Source organism: Homo sapiens, chromosome 5 (genome assembly GCF_000001405.40).
Source record: "Homo sapiens chromosome 5, GRCh38.p14 Primary Assembly".
NCBI lineage: Eukaryota > Metazoa > Chordata > Mammalia > Primates > Hominidae > Homo > Homo sapiens.
Window position 1 is genome coordinate 151,866,580 of NC_000005.10, and position 21,095 is coordinate 151,887,674.

The 21,095-nt window shown below is 42.0% G+C and overlaps 1 protein-coding gene and 2 pseudogenes across 4 annotated transcripts in view; all 3 read right to left on the reverse strand.

Annotated features, from left to right (window-relative positions):
- The window catches only part of GLRA1 (glycine receptor alpha 1), a 102,339-nt gene that overhangs the window by 44,067 nt on the left and 37,177 nt on the right, over positions 1-21,095 (reverse strand). For all 4 annotated transcript variants that reach the window (NM_001292000.2, NM_000171.4, NM_001146040.2 and 1 more), the window contains one exon: positions 20,142-20,209. In NM_001292000.2, the coding sequence (NP_001278929.1) occupies positions 20,142-20,144 (3 nt within the window). In that variant the 5' untranslated portion in view covers positions 20,145-20,209. The remainder of the gene's footprint in view (positions 1-20,141; positions 20,210-21,095) is intronic.
- Positions 1,934-2,005, reverse strand: TRQ-CTG13-1 (tRNA-Gln (anticodon CTG) 13-1; annotated as a pseudogene).
- Positions 8,987-9,113, reverse strand: RNA5SP198 (RNA, 5S ribosomal pseudogene 198; annotated as a pseudogene).

Here is a 21,095-nt window from a genome sequence, read left to right on the forward strand (position 1 = left end):
CCAGATTCTTATACCTTTTAAAGTCTTATCATTCCAGCTCCCAAGGGGATATCTCATCTCGAAACTCAATCCAACTCTATTAACATTTATGAGGCTGATTGGGAGTACAGTTGACGGTGGAGGCACAGGGTCTTCATTTGTATACTTAAAGAATTCAGTTTATCTAGTAAGCAAGATAAGGCATGGACACAAATATCTACCACACAAAATTGAAAGTGAGAGGGTCATAAGAAGTTCTAACAGGCTGCATGCGGTGGCTCACGCCTGTAATCCCAGCACTTTGGGAGGCCAAAATGGGCAGATTGCTTGAGCCCAGGAGTTTGAGACAAGCCTGGGCAATGTGGAAAACTCCATCTGTACAAAAAAAGTAAAAATAAAAAAATTAGCTGGGCCTGGTGGTGCACGACTGTAGTCCCAGCTACTTGGGAGGCTGAGGTGGGAGGATCAATTGAGCCCATGAGGTTGAGGCTGTAGTGAGCCATGATTGTGCCACTGCACTCCGGCCTGGGTAACAGAGCAAGACCCTGTCTCAAAAATAAATACATAAATAAATATAAATAAATAAATACTTTTAACAAATTGCCATTAGAGATGATTTCCAGCCAAGTTGGGCAAATCTGGAAAAGCTTTTCAGGAGAAGGTAGCATTTGAGGTGGCCCCTTTCAGTTTGTTCCATCCTCCAGAAGTTAGCATCTCTAGATCTAGGATTGTTCTGAGGTGTGAACAGTATCTGGTTTCACCTGGAACAAGGCCAGCGATATGCTCTAAGCCTATATGTCTCACATCTTTGAGATAAGGGTAAGACATTAAGACTAGGGCTGCAGCCTCAGAGTATTTGGAATTAGAATATGTATAATTGGGGGTAAAAGGAATCTCATGTAGAAGGAATAGCACAAGCAGAGGTGTGTAGGCAGGGGCATTCAAACAGTTCAGTTTAGCTCAACCATTAGCAGCATAAATAATAATAATTGCCCCTTATTGAGGCCCTACTATACAACAGGCATTATGTCTTAAGCATGCCATACATGTCAGCTTATTTTATCTTTAAAACAATCCTATGACTTGGGCATTTTCAACCTAATTTTATAGATGAAGAAAGTGCAGGGAGATTAAGTGCTTTTTCTGGATTTACACAGTTAGGAAAGAGTGGGGCTGGTGTTCAAACCTGGTTTGTCTGATTACATAAAGTTCAGGCTCTTAACTACTCTGCTGTGATAAGGCTGCAAAATGAATTAATTTGACTGTGGATATCCTTAACTGCCAAACCAAGGTATTTGGATTTTATTTGCTAGCCAATTTAGCACCATTGAAGACTTAAGCAGTGGGGTAATGTCACAGTTTGATTTCAGGAAGATCAGTATGGCAGGAACCACTGTAGACAATTGGAAGCAGGAGAAAACAGGTACAGAAAGACCTGCTTTAAGGCTGTTGTGACAATCCAGTTGGGAGGTAATAAAGGTTCTAAACTAAGATAGCAGGAATGGAGATTGGAGCTAGATGAGAGAATCATCATTCTTATCATCATGATTTTCATCATCAAATATTACAGCTAGAAAGAACCCTGGAGACTTCTGTCTCAACTCTCTCATTTTACAGAAAGGGAGTCTCCCTCAGGGGCACACAGCAATTCAATTGACTAAGGTGGAACCTGCATGCAGGAATCCTGTTGGACAGTTGTGAAAACTAAAGCCCTAAAAGCTCAAGTTCCTGCTGCTAGTTACTGGTAAATTCAGAATTAATAATAACAATGCAAATAATACTAATATTCTGAGACTTCACCACATGCAAGAAACTGTGTTAAGACCTTTATGTGTGTTATTTTTTATCTTCACAATAACCCTGTGAGGTAGGTTTTATTGTTATTCTCATTTTGCAGGGAAATCAAGGTACAGAGAGGTTAATGTTACACTCATGACACTGCATAACTAGTAAGTGACAAAGCTGGGATTTGAACCCAGGACGTTAATGTCAGAGCCCAAGCGTTTAACCAGTAGACTACACTACCCATGATATCCCAGATATGAATTGAGTGACAGTTTGATGACACCTCAGTGTCATTAGGTACTGCCTCTGGCTGCTATGACGTACCTGTGGGTTTTTAGATGCCCACAACTAACAGGAAGTATTGAAAAGGGCAAAGGACAGAAAGCTTCTGCCCTAGATTTAGCAGTCTGCTAGTGCTTTATTTCTGCCTCGAGCCATGGATTTGATCTGCTGTCTGCTCTATACTCAAGTCCAGTGCTTGTGGACTGCCCAGATCCCTGTCTATTGCCTGCTTGGCCCCAGATGCTTTGTGTCTTGAATTTCTCCTAAGTCACCATGCTGCCTGGTGCATTCTCATTTAGATATCACACAATCAGAGCTACATTTGTTGTAAAGAACTGTAGATGGTTTGGACCAGTGGAGCTTAGCATCTTTGTTTGTCTTTAGGGGATCACTAAAGATCAATGTGAATTTAATAATTACATAAGAATGTGAATAGCAGTTCTGTTTATTGGGTGTATTGGATGTCTGACATTTGCTAAATTTTTTTTTTTTTTCTGAGATGGAGTCTTGTTCTGTCACTCAGGCTGGAGTGCAGTGGTGCGATCTCTGCTCACTGCAACCTCCACCTCCCAGGTTCAACGGATTCTCCTGCCCTAGCCCCCTGAGTAGCTGGGATTATAGGCATCTACCACCATGCCTGGCTAATTTTTGTATTGTTAGTAGAGACACGGTTTCACCATGTTGGCCAGGCTGGTCTCAAACTCCTGGCCTCAAGTGATCCACCCGCCTTGGCGTACAAAAGTGCTGGGATTACAGGCATGAGCCACCACATAGAACTTTCTATGTATCATATTGCTAAACTTTTTGGTTGGGTGTGGTGGCTCATGCCTGTAATTCCAGCACTTTGGGAGGCCAACGTGGGTAGATCACCTGAGGTCAGGAGTTTGAGACCAGCCTGGCCAACATGGCGAAACCCCGTCTCTACTAAAAATACAAAAATTAGCCTGTACTTGGTGGCAAGCACTGGTAATCCCAGCTACCTGTGAGGCTGAGGGGGCAGAACTGCTTGAACCTGGAAGGTGGTGGTTGCAGTGAGCTGAGATTGTGCTACTGCACTCCAGCTGGGGCGACAGAGCGAGACTCCACCTCAAAAAACAAAAACAAAAACAAAAACAAAACAACAACAACAAAAAAAACCTTTTCATCAACCTAGCATACTGGGCATTATTATACTTATTTCACTGGAGAGGAAACCAAAATTTAGAGTGGTTAAATGGAGGTTAAGTTTCTTGCCCAAGATCACATAGCTAGTAGGTGCTAGGAACAGAGATATGAATCCAGGACTTCTGGTTCCCAATTTCACACTCTTTTGACAATTATAGGCTGTATCTTCCCATTTAAAAAAAATTTTAAACCAAGTTCAATTTATTTTATTTTAAAACATCTATTTAAAATATTTTAAAAGTAAATATTTATTAAAATTATTAAATATTTTAAACATATATTTAAACTTTTTATTAAATATTAAATACAATATGTTAGACTATCTATTGGGTAGATCAAGGAAATATAGTAGACGTAGTATACTGGGGACCCACTGAGCCCATGTGACAGACAGGTTGGTGCATAAATAACCTTATAATCAGTATCAGGCGAAGAATTTTGGATTGGGACATTGAGCAATGAAGTAGATTTATAACTGGTTGCCAAAGGGTGCAAATGGAAGGAAGGAAGGGTGGATGTTAACCTGGAAAGAGGAAAGCTGATAGTGTTGGCAGTGCAGGGCACAATGGTGAGACATGCCACTAACAAACTTGGAAATATGGAAACTAAGATCACCCTCTGAGAGTTAAAAAACAAACAACGGAGATGAATATGCAATGGAGGGATTTGCATGTTCAAATCTGAGGCCTGGCATCAATCTGAATGATCTATGTGTAATCTCAATGACTTAGGATGGGCATGTGCTTGTAATGTAATGAGAAGAACCCTAATTTATTGTATTACATCTTGTTTTGGGGACTGTTTTGTAAACATATGTGGGACATTCATTCTGTAGCATAAGAAAGGGCCGTTCAAGTAGGAGGAATTTGGCAATTGGTAATCTAGCATACTGCATCACTATATTTGTGGAAACACCAACTTTCTTGCCATTAGAAGGAGGGCTTCTGTGTGGTGACGCAAGGATGGTTTCTTAGAACTCTCTCTGGCCTGGATGAAACTTCCCTCAAGACTGTCTACCTCTCTTTTCTCCAATTCCAGTTATGTTAAAAGCAACTTTTGCTTGGCAAGGGAGCACACTCCTGGTGGACATGGCATTCTTATTATTACAATAGAAAGTCTTACTGTAAATTGGAACAATTTGGCAGTTTGATTTCCCCACTTCAGTCATTCGTGGGTTTGACGGTCATGAGTCAGCCTTCTGGAATTTGATCTGATGAAGAGTCACGCTCTGGGCAGTCATAAGTTCATTGCTGTGACACCTCCCCTGGTGTACTGGGAGAGAATCATCCAGCAGATGGTACCAAGACTGCTCATCACCCCATGGTCTGCTTGTGATAGACTCTAATGGCATTTCTGAGGGCTTTCTCCTTGGCCCTCTCTTAGTCTTTTGTTTACTAAAGCTTTGTTGAGTGTGGCACCATATCTAATTGGATAACGCTGAATAGACTTTCTCTTGGATCCCCCAGACCCAAGAAGATAAGAAGGGACCTAGCATAAGCTGTGTAGAGAGACAAAAGTGTAATGGAAAAAGGAACAACAACAAAAGATCTCATCCATAATAGCAACCACCCCCACAAAATATCTGTGAATAAACCTAACATGAAATATGTGAGTTGTATATATTTAAAAAAATCAAAAACTTTACTGAAAGGCATAAAGGAATACCTGTATAATTGGAGAGATGTACTAATAAAATATTGTAAAGATGTACTTTATTCCCAAATTAATCTTTAAACTTAATGCAATCCTAATCAAAACCTGAGAGGCTTTTTTTTTTTTCTTTTTTTTTGAGATAGAGTCTCGCTCTGTCGCCCAGGCTGGAGTGCAGTGGCACGATCTCGGCTCACTGCAAGCTCCGCCTCCTGGGTTCATGCCATTCTCCTGCCTCAGCCTCCCGAGTAGCTGGGACTACAGGCGCCCGCCACCACGCCCGGCTAATTTTTTTTATGTATTTTTAGTAGAGACGGGGTTTCACTGTGTTAACCAGGATGGTCTCAACCTCCTGACTTCGTGATCTGCCTGCCTCGGCCTCCCAAAGTGCCGGGATTACAGGCGTGAACCACCGCGCCCGGCCGTGAGACGATTTTTATAGGCCTCAATAAACTGATTCTAAAGTTCACATGGAAGAAAGAAAGGGCTGAAAGCGTTAAGAAAAACTTGTAAATGAAGAACAACAGACGGCTTTCTCTACCAGACATAGAAATATAATGAGTCATAGAAATTAAAGCAGTGTGATATTGGTATAGAAACAGAGCAATGGAGCAATAAACTGAGACTAGAGACTAGAAATGCATACATGGGGATTTAGTTTATGAAAAAGATAGCATTTCAAATTAGTAGAAAAACAGTGACTGTTTAAGAAATGGTGTTGGAATAATAGAAACTCAATCAGAGAAAAATAGAGTTAAGCCACCACCAAATTCTTCGTATAAAATTAAACTCCAAATGGATTTAGGAGATGCATATAAAAAAAGAAACCTATAATATTATTCAAAATGCCCAGTCAACATATTAAAAGATGCTCAGATTCACTAGGAATCTGAAGTGCAAATTGAAAATGACAATGAAGTACCATTTTGAAAATCCCATTTGGTGAAAATAAAAAAGCTTGATAATACCTTGGGTTGGCAAGGATGAAGAGAAATAAACACTATTGTAGGGAATGTAAATTATTGAAGCTTTTTTGGGAAGGGAATTGGGCAAAATACTTTTAAAAAAGTGACTATTCTTTCATTAAAGCAATTCTACTTCTGGAATATATCCTAAAGAAATGCACACAGAGGGTTATGCACAAGAATGCTCATTGTAGCCTTGTTTGTAATAGTGTAAAGCTGAAAAAACCTAAAAGCATGTCAAGAGAAAAGTGGTTAAATACTGTGAAATGATGATGTCTCCATACCATGGAATTTTACCAGGAGGCTATAAAGCCTGGAAACATAGTATAATTTTGTCATACATTTAATCTAATAATAAATAATATATTTGTTTTCCCATGTTTCGAAATTTGGGATTGTGTAGAGAGTTAAAAACAGTAAGGTAGATCTATATGTAGCCATGTCGAGAGAGGCGTCAAGCTGTGGTGGAGTGGAAAAAGCAAATTGTATTGCACAATCCTACTTATATAAAGACATGTATATGTACCTAAATGTATGAACAATCAAGGAAAGGGGACTAGTATGGTGTCCACTAAATTTTATTACCTCAGGATAGGACAAAGGGAATTGGAGGGGAGGGCAAAGCAGGGGCATTCTTATTTCTCATTCTCTTTTTCTTTTTTATTGAACTAATTACAAAAGCTTGTTTTCATGTATTACTAATGCACTTTAAAAAAATGTTCCAGGGTGCTGCTGTCCGTAAGCATACTGCAAGTGAACACTGTGACATGGTTCCCGAAATGGAAAGGTCTTTGAGGTGGAATGGGTAGAAATGGATTTTAGGGCCTAGAGAAGGTTTTCCAAGGGCTTCCTGGGGGAGGCAGAGGTTGAGAGAGAGGTCAAGAGAATGAGATTCTTGGTTCCCTCTCCAGTTCAACCAGAACCACCCATTTAAGAAATTTGTTTATTAAAGTGCTACATCAGATTTACCTTACAGCCAGGCGCGGTGGCTCATGCCTATAATCCCAGCACTTTGGGAGGCTGACGGTGTGGATAGCTTGAGGTCAGGAATTTGAGACCAGCCTGGCCAATATGGTAAAACCCCATCTCTACTAAAAATACAAAAATTAGCCGGGTGTGGTGGCGCACACCTGTAATCCCAGCTACTCAGGAGGCTGAGGCAAAAGAATGGCTTGAACCTGGGAGGTGGAGGTTGCAGTGAGCCGAGATTGAGATCACGCCACTGCACTCCAACCTGGGTGACAGAGTGACACTTTGTCTCAAAAAAAAAAAAAAAAAGGTTTACCTTAAAAATTGAACTAAGGTGGGACTGCTATTAAAAACAATGCTTTGAAATTCACTAACCCAGAATAAGTATGGCCCCACTTTGCTCTGCTCGGAACACTCCTTGTCAGGCTGGGTCTATTTCTTTTTCTTTTTAAAAATTGTTATTTTAGATTCAGGGGGTATATGTGCAGATTTGTTACATGGGTATATTGCGTAATGCTGGAGCTTGGGCTTCTTTTGAACCCATCAACTAAATAGTGAACATAGTGCCCTATAGGTAGTTTATTTCTTCACCTTTCATCTCAAGATGGAAATCAAGTGCTGGATGCACTTTGAGGAGAGCACCCTGGTGGTGAAGGGACTGAAAACTAGAGAGAATGGTTGAGGAAGCCAGGCTGGGGAAGGGACAGGGAGAGCCGATCTCAATTATGTGAAGGGTTGTCAGTTGATTTGGTTGATTCTGTGTGGCACTAGGTCAGGACTAAAGCTGTGGGTAAATGGAGATTTCAGAGCTGCCCAAAGATGAAATGGGCAGTCCCTTTACCATCAGGGTGCTCTCCTCAGTGCGCTGAGTTCCACCTTGAGATGAAAGACCAATAAATAAATTACTTATTGGTTATTATGTTCACTATTTGGGTGACGGGTTCAATGGAAACCCAAATACCAACATTATGCAATATATCCATGTAACAAACCTCCACATGACCCCTTGAATCTAAAATTGGGAGGTAGTAGGTTCCCCATCACTGGAGGTGTGCAAGCAAAAAGTACTTGGATATGATGTTTATGGCAGGGATTCTGACAACAGATGGGGGTGTGCTTAGAGAACCTTTCCACAAATACTGACTAGCTCTTGTGATTTAAGCAGTGTGGTGGGCACTGGAAATATAGAGGTGATTGAGGGAAACAAGGTCCCCACTCCAGCTGAAAAAGCCAATAAGGCAACAAACAAACAAGTGAACTTTTAAATTTTAGATATTGCTCTGAGGATAATAGAACATGGTGATGTGATAGAGAGTAACTGGAAGAGAGGGATATTTTTAGGTAGGGGGGTGGAGAAGGACTCCCTGAAGCAATGTCTGAGCTGAGACCTGAAGGGTGAGAAGGAGCCAGGCATGCAAAGATCTTTCTGGGCAGAGGGAACAGAATGTGGTAAGAACCTTTGCAAGTTGTTGCAGGATTGGAAGTAGGATAATTCTGTGATCCGATTTGCAGTTTAAAATGATCCTTCTAGAAACTATGGGAAGTGATAGGGAGCATGAGGAGGGGAAGGAAGGAGACCAGTTAGGAGGCCATTTTGTCAAGCAGGAGAGAGATTATGCCAATTTTAACTAGGAGCTGAGAGCAACAAAGTGGGAAAAAAGTAGATGGATTTAAGTTTTATTTTTGTGATTTAAAATGTCTGCTTCATTTGATCAACTGATCCCAGGATAGGTTGACTTTGACTTGTGACTAAATGACTGCTCCCTAGCCAATGTGTTAATATTTATGTTTGGGTATAAAGGGCTTAAAAAAAAAAAGTTGGGGTCTTGCTTTGTTGCCCAGGTTGGAGTACAGTGGCACAATAATAGCTCACTGCATCCTTAAACTCCTGGGCTCAAGTGATCTCCTCTCTCCTCAGCCTCCTGAATAGCTGGGCCTACAGGTGCATGCCACCATGCCCAGCTGATATTTTAATTTTTTTGTAGAGATGGGGTTTCACTTTGTTGCCTAGGCTGGTCTTGAACTCTTAGCTTCAAGTGATCCTTTTACCTCAGCCTCCCAGAGTGCTAGAATTAGAGCCATGAACAACCACACCTGGCTATAAGGGGCTTTTGATCTCCTTGTGTGGTAGCTGTTTTCTTGTATCTTGAGGCCTTATTTGCAAATACCCAAAATGATGGATGACCAAGGTCGTTCTTGTGACACAAGTTCTTATAGGACTGGACAAATCCTCCCATCCAAGTACTAACCAGGCCTGACCCTGCTTAGCTTCAGAGATTAGACGAGATTGGGTGTGTTCAGGGTGGTATGACCATAGACAAGACTGCACAAATCCTACTGAGCTTCTTATTGACCAAACCGTTCTGCAGAAGACCAGGATGAGGCGATACCCTTACATGGCCCTGGTGCCCTTGGCTCTGCCACTTCCCACTTCCCTCTTTCTTTATGCTCAGCAAATGGAGTAGGCCAAGAACAGGGCCTCAGGAGTCAGGCAGCCTGGGGATGATAACTGGCTGTGCCATTTATTGGCTGGAAAAATTTGGGTGAATCAAGCTTCTCTAAGCCTCAGTTTCCTTATCTATAAAATGGGATTGTTGTACATGAAATAATTCCCATAATTCACTAACCAAAATTACCTGGCTTTCAGAAAAGTGCTCAGTAAATGACAAACACCAATACTAACACCTCACATTCTTTTCACAGTAGAGCTTTTTGAAAGGTTTATCTTCATGCTGTCTTTGTTTCAATTTATCCTTTGCTTTCTTCATGCCCCTGAAATTACATTCCCTAATTCTACATATGTGCCCTCCCTTCCCCTATACCCCGTTGCTGAAACTACTGGATGACACTTTCTTTTCTACTTGACTTTTCTTTCCTCTTTTGGCACTATTGAACACACAACAGTTTTTTTGAAACCCTTTCATCCTTTGGTTCATCCCTTGAAACTGTTCTCTCCTGGAAGGTTTGAACATGGGGAGTACCATGACCAGATTGCTGCTTTAGTAAAATCAGTCAATTTGGTGCCGATCAGTTTAGAAAAAAAGAAAAAAGAAAAATAACTCGAAAGCACACAACAGTGCCTGACACGTACATATTCAGAGAATTATTATTAATAATTTACAGAGAATTATTATTAACTTCTGTGTTCCACAGCATCCTTGCATAGCTCTGTAATCTCACCCATCCTACTGTGGTATTATCTTGTTTTCCTTAAAATAGACTCCTTGAAAGCAGAGACCTCCTACTCACTGATGTCTGGTTCCTGTTTACTTCTGGTACCATAGGAGGATTATACTTCTCTTTGGGCAGTGCCATGTGACTTCCCTTGGATAGTGACATGCAAGCAGAAGTCACTCCTAGGTGGAACACATTTACTTGGCAGTTGTTATGGACTGAATGTGTCCCTCCAAAATTTATATGTTGAAGCCCTAACCCCCAGAGTGACTATATTTGAAGATGGAGTCTTTAAGGAGGTGATAAAGGTTAAATGAGGTCATGAGGGTGGGGCCCTAATTCAGTAGGATTTGTGTCCTAATAAGGAGAGAAAGAGGTGCCAGATCTCTCTCTCTCTCTCTCTGTCTCTCTTTGCACAGAGAGAAGCCATTTGAGGACACAGTGAAAAGAAGCTGTCTACAAGCCAGGAAAAGGGCCCTCACTAGAGACCAACTCTGGTGGCACCTGGAACTTGGACTTCTAACCTCCAGAACTGTGACAAAATAATTTTCTGTTGTTGAAGGCATCCAATCTGTGGTACTTTGTTATGGTAGCACACACTAATACAACAGTGTTCAACCCTTCAGTGTATTGTTCTCTTGTGTGGCAAATGTGAAATTGTGTGTTGATACGGAAATGCAATGCTGAGCTACTACCTGGGGGAAAGCAGTCCCGGAGAGCCCTTACATCTGCAGCAGACTTTAGATGAGTGATAAATGAATCATTGTTGTCTGAAGATGTTGAGATTTTGGGGATTTGTTAATGCAGGAAAGCCTAGCTTATAGGACTAAAACAGAACTCTATCTCTAGAGCCTAATGCCAAATTTAGCACATGTAAGACATTAATTAATAAATGGAGTGGAAAGAACAAATGAATGAAGAGATACCAGTAAAAATAAAAACAAGCAAATAACAAAAACAAAAACAAAAACACAACAACAACAACAAAAAACTCCAAAACCCAGAAGGGCATTTCCTTATGTTTGGGTATTGGTGTCCCCACCCAAATCTCATCTTGAATCCCCATGTGTTATGGGAGGGACCTGGTGGGAAGTAATTGAATCATGGGGGCGGGTCTTTCCCATGCTGTTCTCGTGATAGTGAATAAGCTCACAAGATCTGATAGTTTTAAAAAGAGGAGTTTCCCTGCACAAGTTCTTCTCTTGTCTGCTGCCATGTGAGACATGCCTTTCACTTTCTGCCATGATTGTGAGGCCTCCCCAGCCACATGCAACTGTAAGTCCAATAAAGGTCTTTCTTTTGTAAATGCCCAGTCTCAGGCATATCTTTATCAGCAGCATGAAAATGGACTAATACAGTAAATTGGTACCAGTAAAGTGGGGCAATGCTGAAAACATACTTGAAAATGTGGAAGTGACTTTGGGCACTGCTGAAAAGATACCCAAAAATGTGAAATTAGGTAACAGGCAGAGGTTGGGACGGTTTGGAGGGCTCAGAAGAGGACAGGAAAATGTGGGAAAGTTTGGAACTTCCTAGAGACTTGTTGAATGGCTTTGCCTAGAATGCTGATAGCAATATGGACAATAAAATCTAGGCTGAGGTGGTCTCAGATGGAGATGAGGAACTTGTTGGGAACTGGAGCAAAGGTGACGCTTGTTATGTTTTAGCAAAGAGACTGGCAGCATTTTGCCCCTGCCCCAGAGATTTGTGGAACTTTGAACTGCAGAGAGATGATTTAGGGTTCTGGTGGAAGTAAGCAGCAAAGCATTCAAGAAGTTATGTGGTTGCTGTTAAAGGCACTCGGTTTTATAAGGGAAGCAGAGCATAAAAATTTGGAAAATTTGCAGCCTGACAATGTGCTAGAAAAGAAAAACCCATTTTCTGAGGAGAAATTGAAGCCAGCTGAAGAAATTTGCATAAGTAATGAGGAGCCAAATGTTAATCCCCAAGACAATGGGGAAAATGTCTCCGGAGCATGTCAGAGGTCTTCACAGCAGCCACTCCCATCACAGGCCCAAAGGCTTTGGAGAAAATCGTTTCGTGGGCCAAGCCCAGGGTCCCTGTGCTGTGTGCGGTCTAGAGACTTGGTGCCCTGTGTCCCAGCCACTCCAGCCATGACTAAAAGGTGCCAAAGTACAATTCAGGTTGTTTCTTCAGAAGGTGGAAGCCCCAAGCCTTGGCAGCTTCCACGTGGCATTGAGCCTGCGGGTGCACAGAAGTCAAGAATTGAAGTTTGGTAACCTCTGCCTAGATTTCAGAAGGTGTATGGAAACCCCTGGATGCCCAAGCAAAAGTCTGCTGCAGGGGTGGGGCCCTCATGGAGAACCTCTGCTAGGGCAGTGCAGAAGGGAAATGTGGGGTTGAAGCCCCCACACAGAGTCCCTACTTGGGCACCTCCTAGTGGAGCTGTGAGAAGACGGCCACCACACTCCAGACCCCAGAATGGTAGATCCACTGACAACTTGCACTGTGAGCCTGGAAAAGCCACAGACACTCAACGCTAGCCTATGAAAGCAGCCAGGAGGGAGGCTCTACCCTGCAAAGCCACAGGGGCATAGCTGCCCAAGACCATGGGAACCCACCCCTTGCATCAGTGTGACCTGCATATGAGACGTGGAGTCAAAAGAGATCATTTTGGATCTTTAAGACTTGACTGTCCTACTGGATTTCAGACTCGCATGGGGCCTGTAGCCCCTTTGTTTTGGCCAATGTCTCCCATTTAGAATGGCTGTATTTATCCAATACCTGTACCCCCATTGTATCTAGGAAGTAACTAACTTCCTTTTTTTTTTCAGATTTTATTTTATTTATTTACGTATTTTTTTAAGACAGAGTCCCACTCTCTTGCCCAGGCTGGAGTGCAGTGGCACCATCTCGGCTCACTGCAACTTCCGCCTCCTGGGTTCAAGCAATTCTGCAGCCTCAGCCTCCAAGTAGCTGGGACTACAGGCTTGCACTAAGTCTGGATAATTTTTGTATTTTTAGTAGAGATGAGGTTTCACCATATTGGCTAGCCTGGTCTTGAACTCCTGACCTAAAGTGATCCGCCCACCTCGGCCTCCCAAAGTGTTGGGATTACAGGCATGAACCACTGTGCCTGGCCAGCTAACTTGCTTTTGATTTTACAGGCTCATAGATGGAAGGGACTTGCCTTGTCTTGGAAGAGACTTTGGACTGTGGACTTTTGAATTAGTGCTGAAATGAATTAAGCCTTTGGGGGACTGTTGGGAAGGCATGATTGGTTTCGAAATATGAGGACATGAGATTTGGGAGGGGCCAGGAGCGGAATGATATGATTTGGCTGTGTCCCCACTGAAATCTCATCTTGAATTTCCATGTGTTATGGATGGGACCTGGTGGGAGATAATTGAATCGTTGGGGGCAGGTCTTTCCCAAGCTGTTCTTGTGATAGTGAGTAAGTCTCACAAGATCTGATGTTTACTATAAGGGAGAATTTTCCTGCACAAGCTCTCTCTTTGCCTGCTGCCATCCACGTAAGATGTGACTTGCTCTTCCTTGCCTTCCACCATGATTGTAAGACTTCCCTAGCCATGTAGAACTGTAAGTCCATTTAAACCTTTTCTTTTGTAAATTGCCCAGTTTTGGGTATGTCTTTATTAGCAGTGTGAAAATGGACTAATGCAAAGTCTTTGCTTTGGCTGACTAGTTAGTAGTAAATAATCTTTTATATTTCTATAGCATTTACCAAAGACTTGCATACCTATTACTCTGTGTGATCCTATACACCATTCTTAGGGCCAGGTACCTGGGGGAAGTGTATCTCAGAAGTATTAATGGTGGCAGAGTGAGAACTCAAACCCTGGTCTCCTGACTCCTGGTTCAGATCTCTGTCCATTGCCCCTTAAAGTCAAATAAGGCCAAACTTGTGGACTGTAGTTGCATAGGCTGTCATCAATCAGCAGGGGTCCTGGCCACAGTGCACCTGTCTTGTGCCAAGCTAGCCTGCCCCTTGGCAAGAGAGGCTGGAACACATGTTCTAATAATGGAAATACTGGGATTCATGCCCAAAGGATGTCAACACACACTCTCTCTCTCTCTCTCTCACTCTGTCTCTCTCTCTCATGTTTATATACAGTTCTACACAAATTCCAGCAATATACAAGTCCCTTAATGTGCACACATGTATAGTCATACTCCCATACTGGTACATTTAAATACTCTTTTACTTATTCACTTGTATTCATATGCACACACATTCACATTCACATGCACATGCATGTACACACATGTAAACATGCCTACTCAAATGCGGATACATACTTAAATATCTCTTTATATATTCACAAATATCCACATACAAATACCCAAAGAAAATAATACACTCCATGCACATTCGTTCTTAAGTACTTTCACATCTCCTACATGTATGCAAACTCACAGATACATGTGTATTCATATGTACAGATTTCCACATGTACAAATATAAACATAGAAATACACATACTTATATCCATACCTATAGATCATACACATTTCTCTTTGAAGTTACATGTCTACACATGTTCAAATTAGCATCACATATACACATGCCTATGTATGCCACTGCACAATTCCACGATCCCTCAGTATATACCTCCACATACATACTACACAGATCCATAGATGCTCCAGTGCACACACTTACACACATTTGTCCAGACAAGCTAGAGGTTTTCATCTGAGTTTTAGCTCTTTGTAGAATACCAGAGGGGCTGCTCTAGATCAGGATTCCCTTTCCTCTTTTCCTTTGTACGTTTCTTTCTTTTTGTTTTTCCTTTTTTTTTTTTTTTGAGACAGAGCCTCACCCTGTTGCCCAGTCTTGAGTGCAGTGGCATGATCACAGCTCACTGCAGCCTTGACCTCCTAAGGCTCAGGTGATCTTCCTGCCTCAGCCCCTGCTCCAGGAGTAGCTGGAACTACAAGCATGTGCCACCATGCCCTGCAATTTTTTTTTTTTTTTTTTTTTTTTAGTAGAGACAGGATTTCACCATTTGCCCAGGCTGGTCTCGAACTCCCGGGCTCAAGCAATCTGCGCACCTTGGCCTCCCAAAGTGCTGGGATTACAGGTATAAGCCACTGCATGTGGCCTCCCTTGTACATTTCTGTTTCAACTTTTACCTTCCTCTTGCTGCACAGACTCAAAGAGAGTCCCAGAAAAGGTCAGTTAAAGGACAGGCAGTCTCAGCCCTCTCCTTGTCAGGACTGGATAGAGACCCCTGTTGCTTTGCTGGCTGCCTCTCTGCTCTCAGGTCTGTTAGCTCCGGTGAATAAAGCCAGGTCCTGGGAGGTAGGCAGTTAGGCCTGGGGACTCCAGCTGTTTATAGAGCTGCTATGCACTCCTGCTTTTTCTGGAGAACAAACACAGCCTGGAAAGTTTCTGAAACCCGGACTATGTCCATATTACCTTGGACCCATGGTGCACAACTAGCTGTTTGTGTGGTTGGAGAGGCAGAACCCAGGCTGGAAGTCAGGGAGCCTGGGCTGACTATGCCACTAATTAGCTGTGTGTGTGTGTGTCCATGGGCAAGTGCAATCCTCTCTCTGGCCTCCAGTTTCTATGTCTGTTCAAGCTGAAGTTCCCTTTTGCTCTAATTCTCTGTGATGAAAGGAGACAAGGAAGGGCTGGGTAGTCCCAAACATTCAGGAATTAAATGTTTACATTTGGCTTAGGAGATCACGCACTGAGTTCAAGTTCTACCCTTGCTACTTATTAGCTGTGTGTCCTTAGGAAAATAACCTAATTTTCTGATCCTCAGCTTTCTCATCTGTAAACTGGAGATAAACTTTCCCACTTTATGGGGGTTGTTATCAAGCCTAAATTAGGTGATAGATACAGAAGTGCTCTGTTCACTGCCTGGTATGTAGTAGCATATAATAAGTTCTTCAAGAATAAGTTGCTTTTCTTGTTATTATACTAATAGCAGTTTCCCAAAGCCACTTTGAGTGACAAGAAAAGAGGCTTGAATGGGAGAGTCGTCCAAAAGTTTTGGTAGGTGGAATCCAGAGGGAAAAGAAGCTGAAGGGAGGGGAATCTTTGAGCACTGCAGAGAGCATCAGACCTGTGTTTCTACCACACCTATTTCTTGCTGTGTGACCTTGCTCAAGTGACCTTACCATTCTAACAACCAGATTCTCTCTCCAGAAAATAGAGAGCCAGACTAGGCAATTTCTTAAGTTTTTTTTTTTTTTTAGATCTGAGAGTTTTTTCCCCTATATCATCTGTAAACACACAAATAATTAAGTTAAACACACAAATAATTAAGAAGCCAGTGAGGAAAAAATCATAGTACATAAGTCTTCATTTAACATCATTGACAGGTTATTGGGAACAGACTTTAAGTGAAATGACATATAGCAGTTTATCAAATAATGTTGTTTTGTTATAATGTTGATGAGAAATAAAATTGGTTATGTTGTAGTCATTTTGTTGAAAGTTGCAGGTTCTAAGAACCTATTGGTGATGTTAAGTGAGATCTAGTAAGATATATTATGAGATATATATAAGAAATACTATATTATGAAATATGCCTGCTTGGAAATAGCACCTCCTGCCCTACTTTGGATTAATTTTAATAAATAGGGAGAAAACTATGTCATTTGTGGTCTACCCTCAAGGCAGTACATCATAACTGATCCTTCATTTCCTGTCGGAAGATTATTTCTTTCTACTCCAGGAGACCATCTCCTCTGGGGTCCTTTGTTATCTCCATTATCATTACTTACTATTTTCTCTTGAGGGGAGCTGGGCATGGCATGATATTGGGTTGGATTTCCACTTTTGATGCACTTAGACTGTTGCTTACGTGTACTTTGTAGGTCCTGGTCCTCCAATTTTTTTAGTCTGTGCTCTTTGGAGTTATAGCAGTGTGGCACAGAACAAACATTTATCTATAGGTTATGAGAACTGGATCTTAATCCTTGCACAGTCACCAAGTAGCTTTGTGATATGATCTGTACAAACCTCCGTTTCTTCAGCTGTAAACTGGGGAACATAGCATGCCTATTTTACAGAGTGGTTGTAAGACTACACACGTGGTGAAGGAATCACGTGAGAGCATGAATGTGAAAATGTGCTGAAAATGATAAATGGCATGTAACAATAGTTGGCATCATTGCAACTGCCCTTTGTGTCAGGCACTGTGCTTTGCACTTTCCATGCTTTATCTCTTAATACTCACAGCAGGCCACAAGGTGGATGCTACTGGCATCCCTATTTTTAACAGATGAGAAAGCCAACTTAAATACCTTGGCCAAGATCACAGAGCTGAGCCTCAGATGTTGTCTGGGCTTTGAAGACTGTGTCTAATTACTCTGCTACACCGTTTCTGTAGAAAGCAAAATGCAGCAGAAGTGAAGTCTGGAAAGGTAGTCAGAAGATGTGGGGTGGGAAATGGGGGGTGAGGGTTGTGGAGGTGGGAGTGGAGAGGAGAGGAGGAATAAACCAAGGCTCAAAGAAGTCTAAGGATTGCTCAAGATTACACAGCAAATCATCAATGATAATGTTGGGGCTGCAGTGTCAAGAGTCTCCATCATCATCACCATCATAAAAAATGCTTGGTGAACATTTACAAAGCATGGACAATGATAAACATTTTTCTAGGTTGGGTGCAGTGGCTCACGTCTGTAATCCCAACACTTTGGGAGGCCGAGGTGGGTGGATCACATGAGGCCAGGAGTTCGAGACCAGCCTGGCTGACATGGCGAAACCCCATCTCTATCAAAAATACAAAAATTAGCTGGGCCTGGTGGTGCATGTCTGTAATCCCAGCTACTCGGGAGGCTGAGGCACAAGAATTGCTTGAACCCAGGAGGCAGAGTTTGCAGTGAGCCGAGATCGTGCCACTGCACTCCAGCCTGGGCAACAGGGTGAAACTCTGTCTCAAAACAAAACAAAACAAAACAAAAAAACCCATTTTTTCTCTACACACTTCACATAATAACTTAATGATATCAGTATGTTAATTACCATTGGGATTTTACAGATGAAGAAACTGAGGCTTAAAGATGTGAAGCAAATAAGCTCCTCGTAGACAGAGTGAGCTCAGTGTATGTGACTCCAGAGCTGGGCTTTTAATCACCATGGGAAGTAAGGCTATATCTTTCTTTTTTAGGAATCTGTATGAAGGAATTAAGTCTCTGTTTGGTCATTATCAGGAAACGAGTGCTGATATGTGCACCTGTCCTCAAATAACCAGTTCCTTACAGAACCAGGTGGTCCACTCCCTGACTTGGCTTGATAACCATTTACCATTGAGGAAAAAGAGTGGAAGTGTCAACACTCACTGTACAGATTATGATTAATACAAATGTCAATATGCTTCTGATCTCAGAGGAGGGGAAGAAAAGCAGAGGGGCTCATTAAGAGTGCTTGTAAGACATCCATTCAAAGGTGAAAAAAACTTGGCTATTTATTTGACCTGGATATCCAGTGAAAAGCACCCATGTTTGTTCCTAGCTAACAAGTGGGACCATCTCCATTTGGAGATAAGAGGCCTGTTACTTTAGGGAGTTTCACCAGTTGTCCTTTGAATGTGGGAACAGTCTTCGTGACCATATCAAGACAGGCCACCTCACCTACTGAACTCAGTGATTTCTGCCAGCCTGGGACTGAAAGGTTGGATGTAATCTCCATAAATGCTTAGGACCAAATACTGGTTTTAATTGATAAGCAATATAATTGATTTGGTTTATTTATTTAAAAAACTGTTGAGTATCTGTTATTGAATCACTGTGCTAGCTGCTGGGGTTCCCACAGGAAATGAAACAAGATACCAGCCCCCAAGGAACTTACAGTATAGTGACAGGAGGGACACATAAGCAGGTTGGTACAGTGGTAATTGTAAGTGACAAGTGCTGTTGTGGAAACTGTAAAATGTATTATGAGAATGGACAGAAGGGACCCATCCCAGCCTTGGGTGAAGGGCACACGTGAACTCACACACACGTACGCGCATGTTACAGTGGGGAGGCTTTCTATGGAAATAATTCTAAGCTGAGTCTTAAAGGAGAATAGGAATTGGCAAGGGAAAGGAGGCTGGAGTGGGTGCTCTGGGCAGTGGCCTAGCAGCCACCACCAGAAGCCTGTAAAGCAGAGAGCGAGAGACGACCTGGCTGGAGAGCTGTAAGCAATCGGTGCAGCTAGAGTATGCAGTGGGAGAGGGAGGAAATGAAGCAGGGTGAATCACAGGGAGCCTCCTCAGCTTTGCAAAAGAACTTGGGTTTAATGCTGAGGGTGATGGGGAGCCATAGGAAGTGTTTAAATAGGAGCAGTGACGTGGTTAGATTTGTGTTTTGGAAAGGCTAGTGTGGGATAAAGTAGACTGGAAGGGGGCAAGTTGGAAGCCAACGAGAACCCTTTGCAGTCATGTAAGCCAGCCATGATGGAAGCCTGAACTAGATTAGGGGCGGGTGGATGTTCCGAAATGGATAGATTAGAGTTAACTTTAGGCTGCCCTGATTATTTTTTTTCACAAGCTAGATCACTTCCTTAACATAAGTACAATTGATTTTTCTGTTGAAAAAACAAAAACAAAAAGTCTGAGAAAAGTTTTAAAATATCATTACACTTATTCATAATTACTAATATAATATTCACCCCTTGCAGAAATTTGAAAAATATATAAATACTGTAGGAAGAAAATAAAAATTATTCATAACTTTTTAATTCAGAGATAATCATTCTTACAATTTTGGTATTTTTTTTCCTAGGCATTTCTTCTAGTGTAATAGATTCATTCTAAACTTTTTTACTGTGAAAAGTTTTAAATGTATTCAACAGTAGAGGAAATATACAATTAACCCAATATACCCATTTCAGCTTGTATAACCAGCAGTCTTCTGCCATTCTGCAGTTGAATGTTAAACTTAAAAACAGGTCTTCACATTTTCTTTTACTCTAAAAATTTGACTTGTTGTATAATTTTGTTTTTGTAATCCTGGGTGTTTGGCAGGTGCTTGCCCTGCTAGGTCTTTGGCTATTTTCAGATATTATGTATTCACTCAAAACATTTAATGTGACAGTAAAGACATCCGAGCCTCATGGTATACCACTGGAGACTTGAGAAAAACCCAGCTGATTCCCCACTTCCTTGGTGGAGACCAATGCAGAGGATAAATATTTCATGGAGAGATATCTCCAGCAGGAACTAACAGCTTGTGTTTTGACTTACTCACCATGGTTGTCTCAGCAATGGAACCAAAGCTGTTGATGAAAATGTTGCAGCTCACGTTCACTGGGGGACCTGCCAATCAAGAGAGATTCCTGCTTAGCCCCAAGGCCATGGAAGAACCCACAGGGTAGGACTCATTCCCAGAACACTGACTTCTGGAATGGATCGCCTTTGGTGGAGGAGATCCTTGCTTGCTCTCCACCCCACCCCCAAGCACCTGGGATTCCCAGCCACCATTTAACATCTCTATGCCAGACTTCCTGGTCCCCAAGTGAGCACCAGGTACAGAATACCAGAGGCTGAGCTGAGATGTACTTTCATTAACACAGGATGATTCATCAGCCGCCATATGGTTGAAATTCCTTCCCCAAGTCCCATTGGCTGCCTTTCAGCCACAAATTAGTGGCTGAAATATATTTATGTCTACAACATTTGGAGGCCATCTTGGGAATTACAAGGAACAGCAAGCTCCTTGCCTTCAACTTATGAACCAAGAATGATTGTCTGAAAGGCATTGATGGGAATTACCAGCTGAGGAATCCAGAAGGAACCTCAGGGGAAGTCCACAGACTTTGTTAAATACTTTCTGAGCAAGTCTTTTGAATCCTACTGCAAAGCGTAGGAAAGAAATGGAGGATTATTCACTGGTTTGCTGTCTCATTCCTAGAGGAGATGTTGTCTCATTGAAGCCCAATCTCTTCACTTTATAGTATTAATTATAGCAGTTGCCATTTACTAAACATTACGGGGGTTCCTGCTGTGCTGAGAGTATTATTAACATCATTTCATTTCATCATTTCAACAACTCCAGGAGAAGGTATGGTTATTACCTTCATTTTACAGGAGAGAAAACAGAGGCTCAGAGAAGCTATTTGTTCATGCCTACATAACTAGTAAATGGGTGAGTCAGAGTTTGAGTTCAGATTTGTCTAACTCCAAGGGTGCTCATCTTAATGGC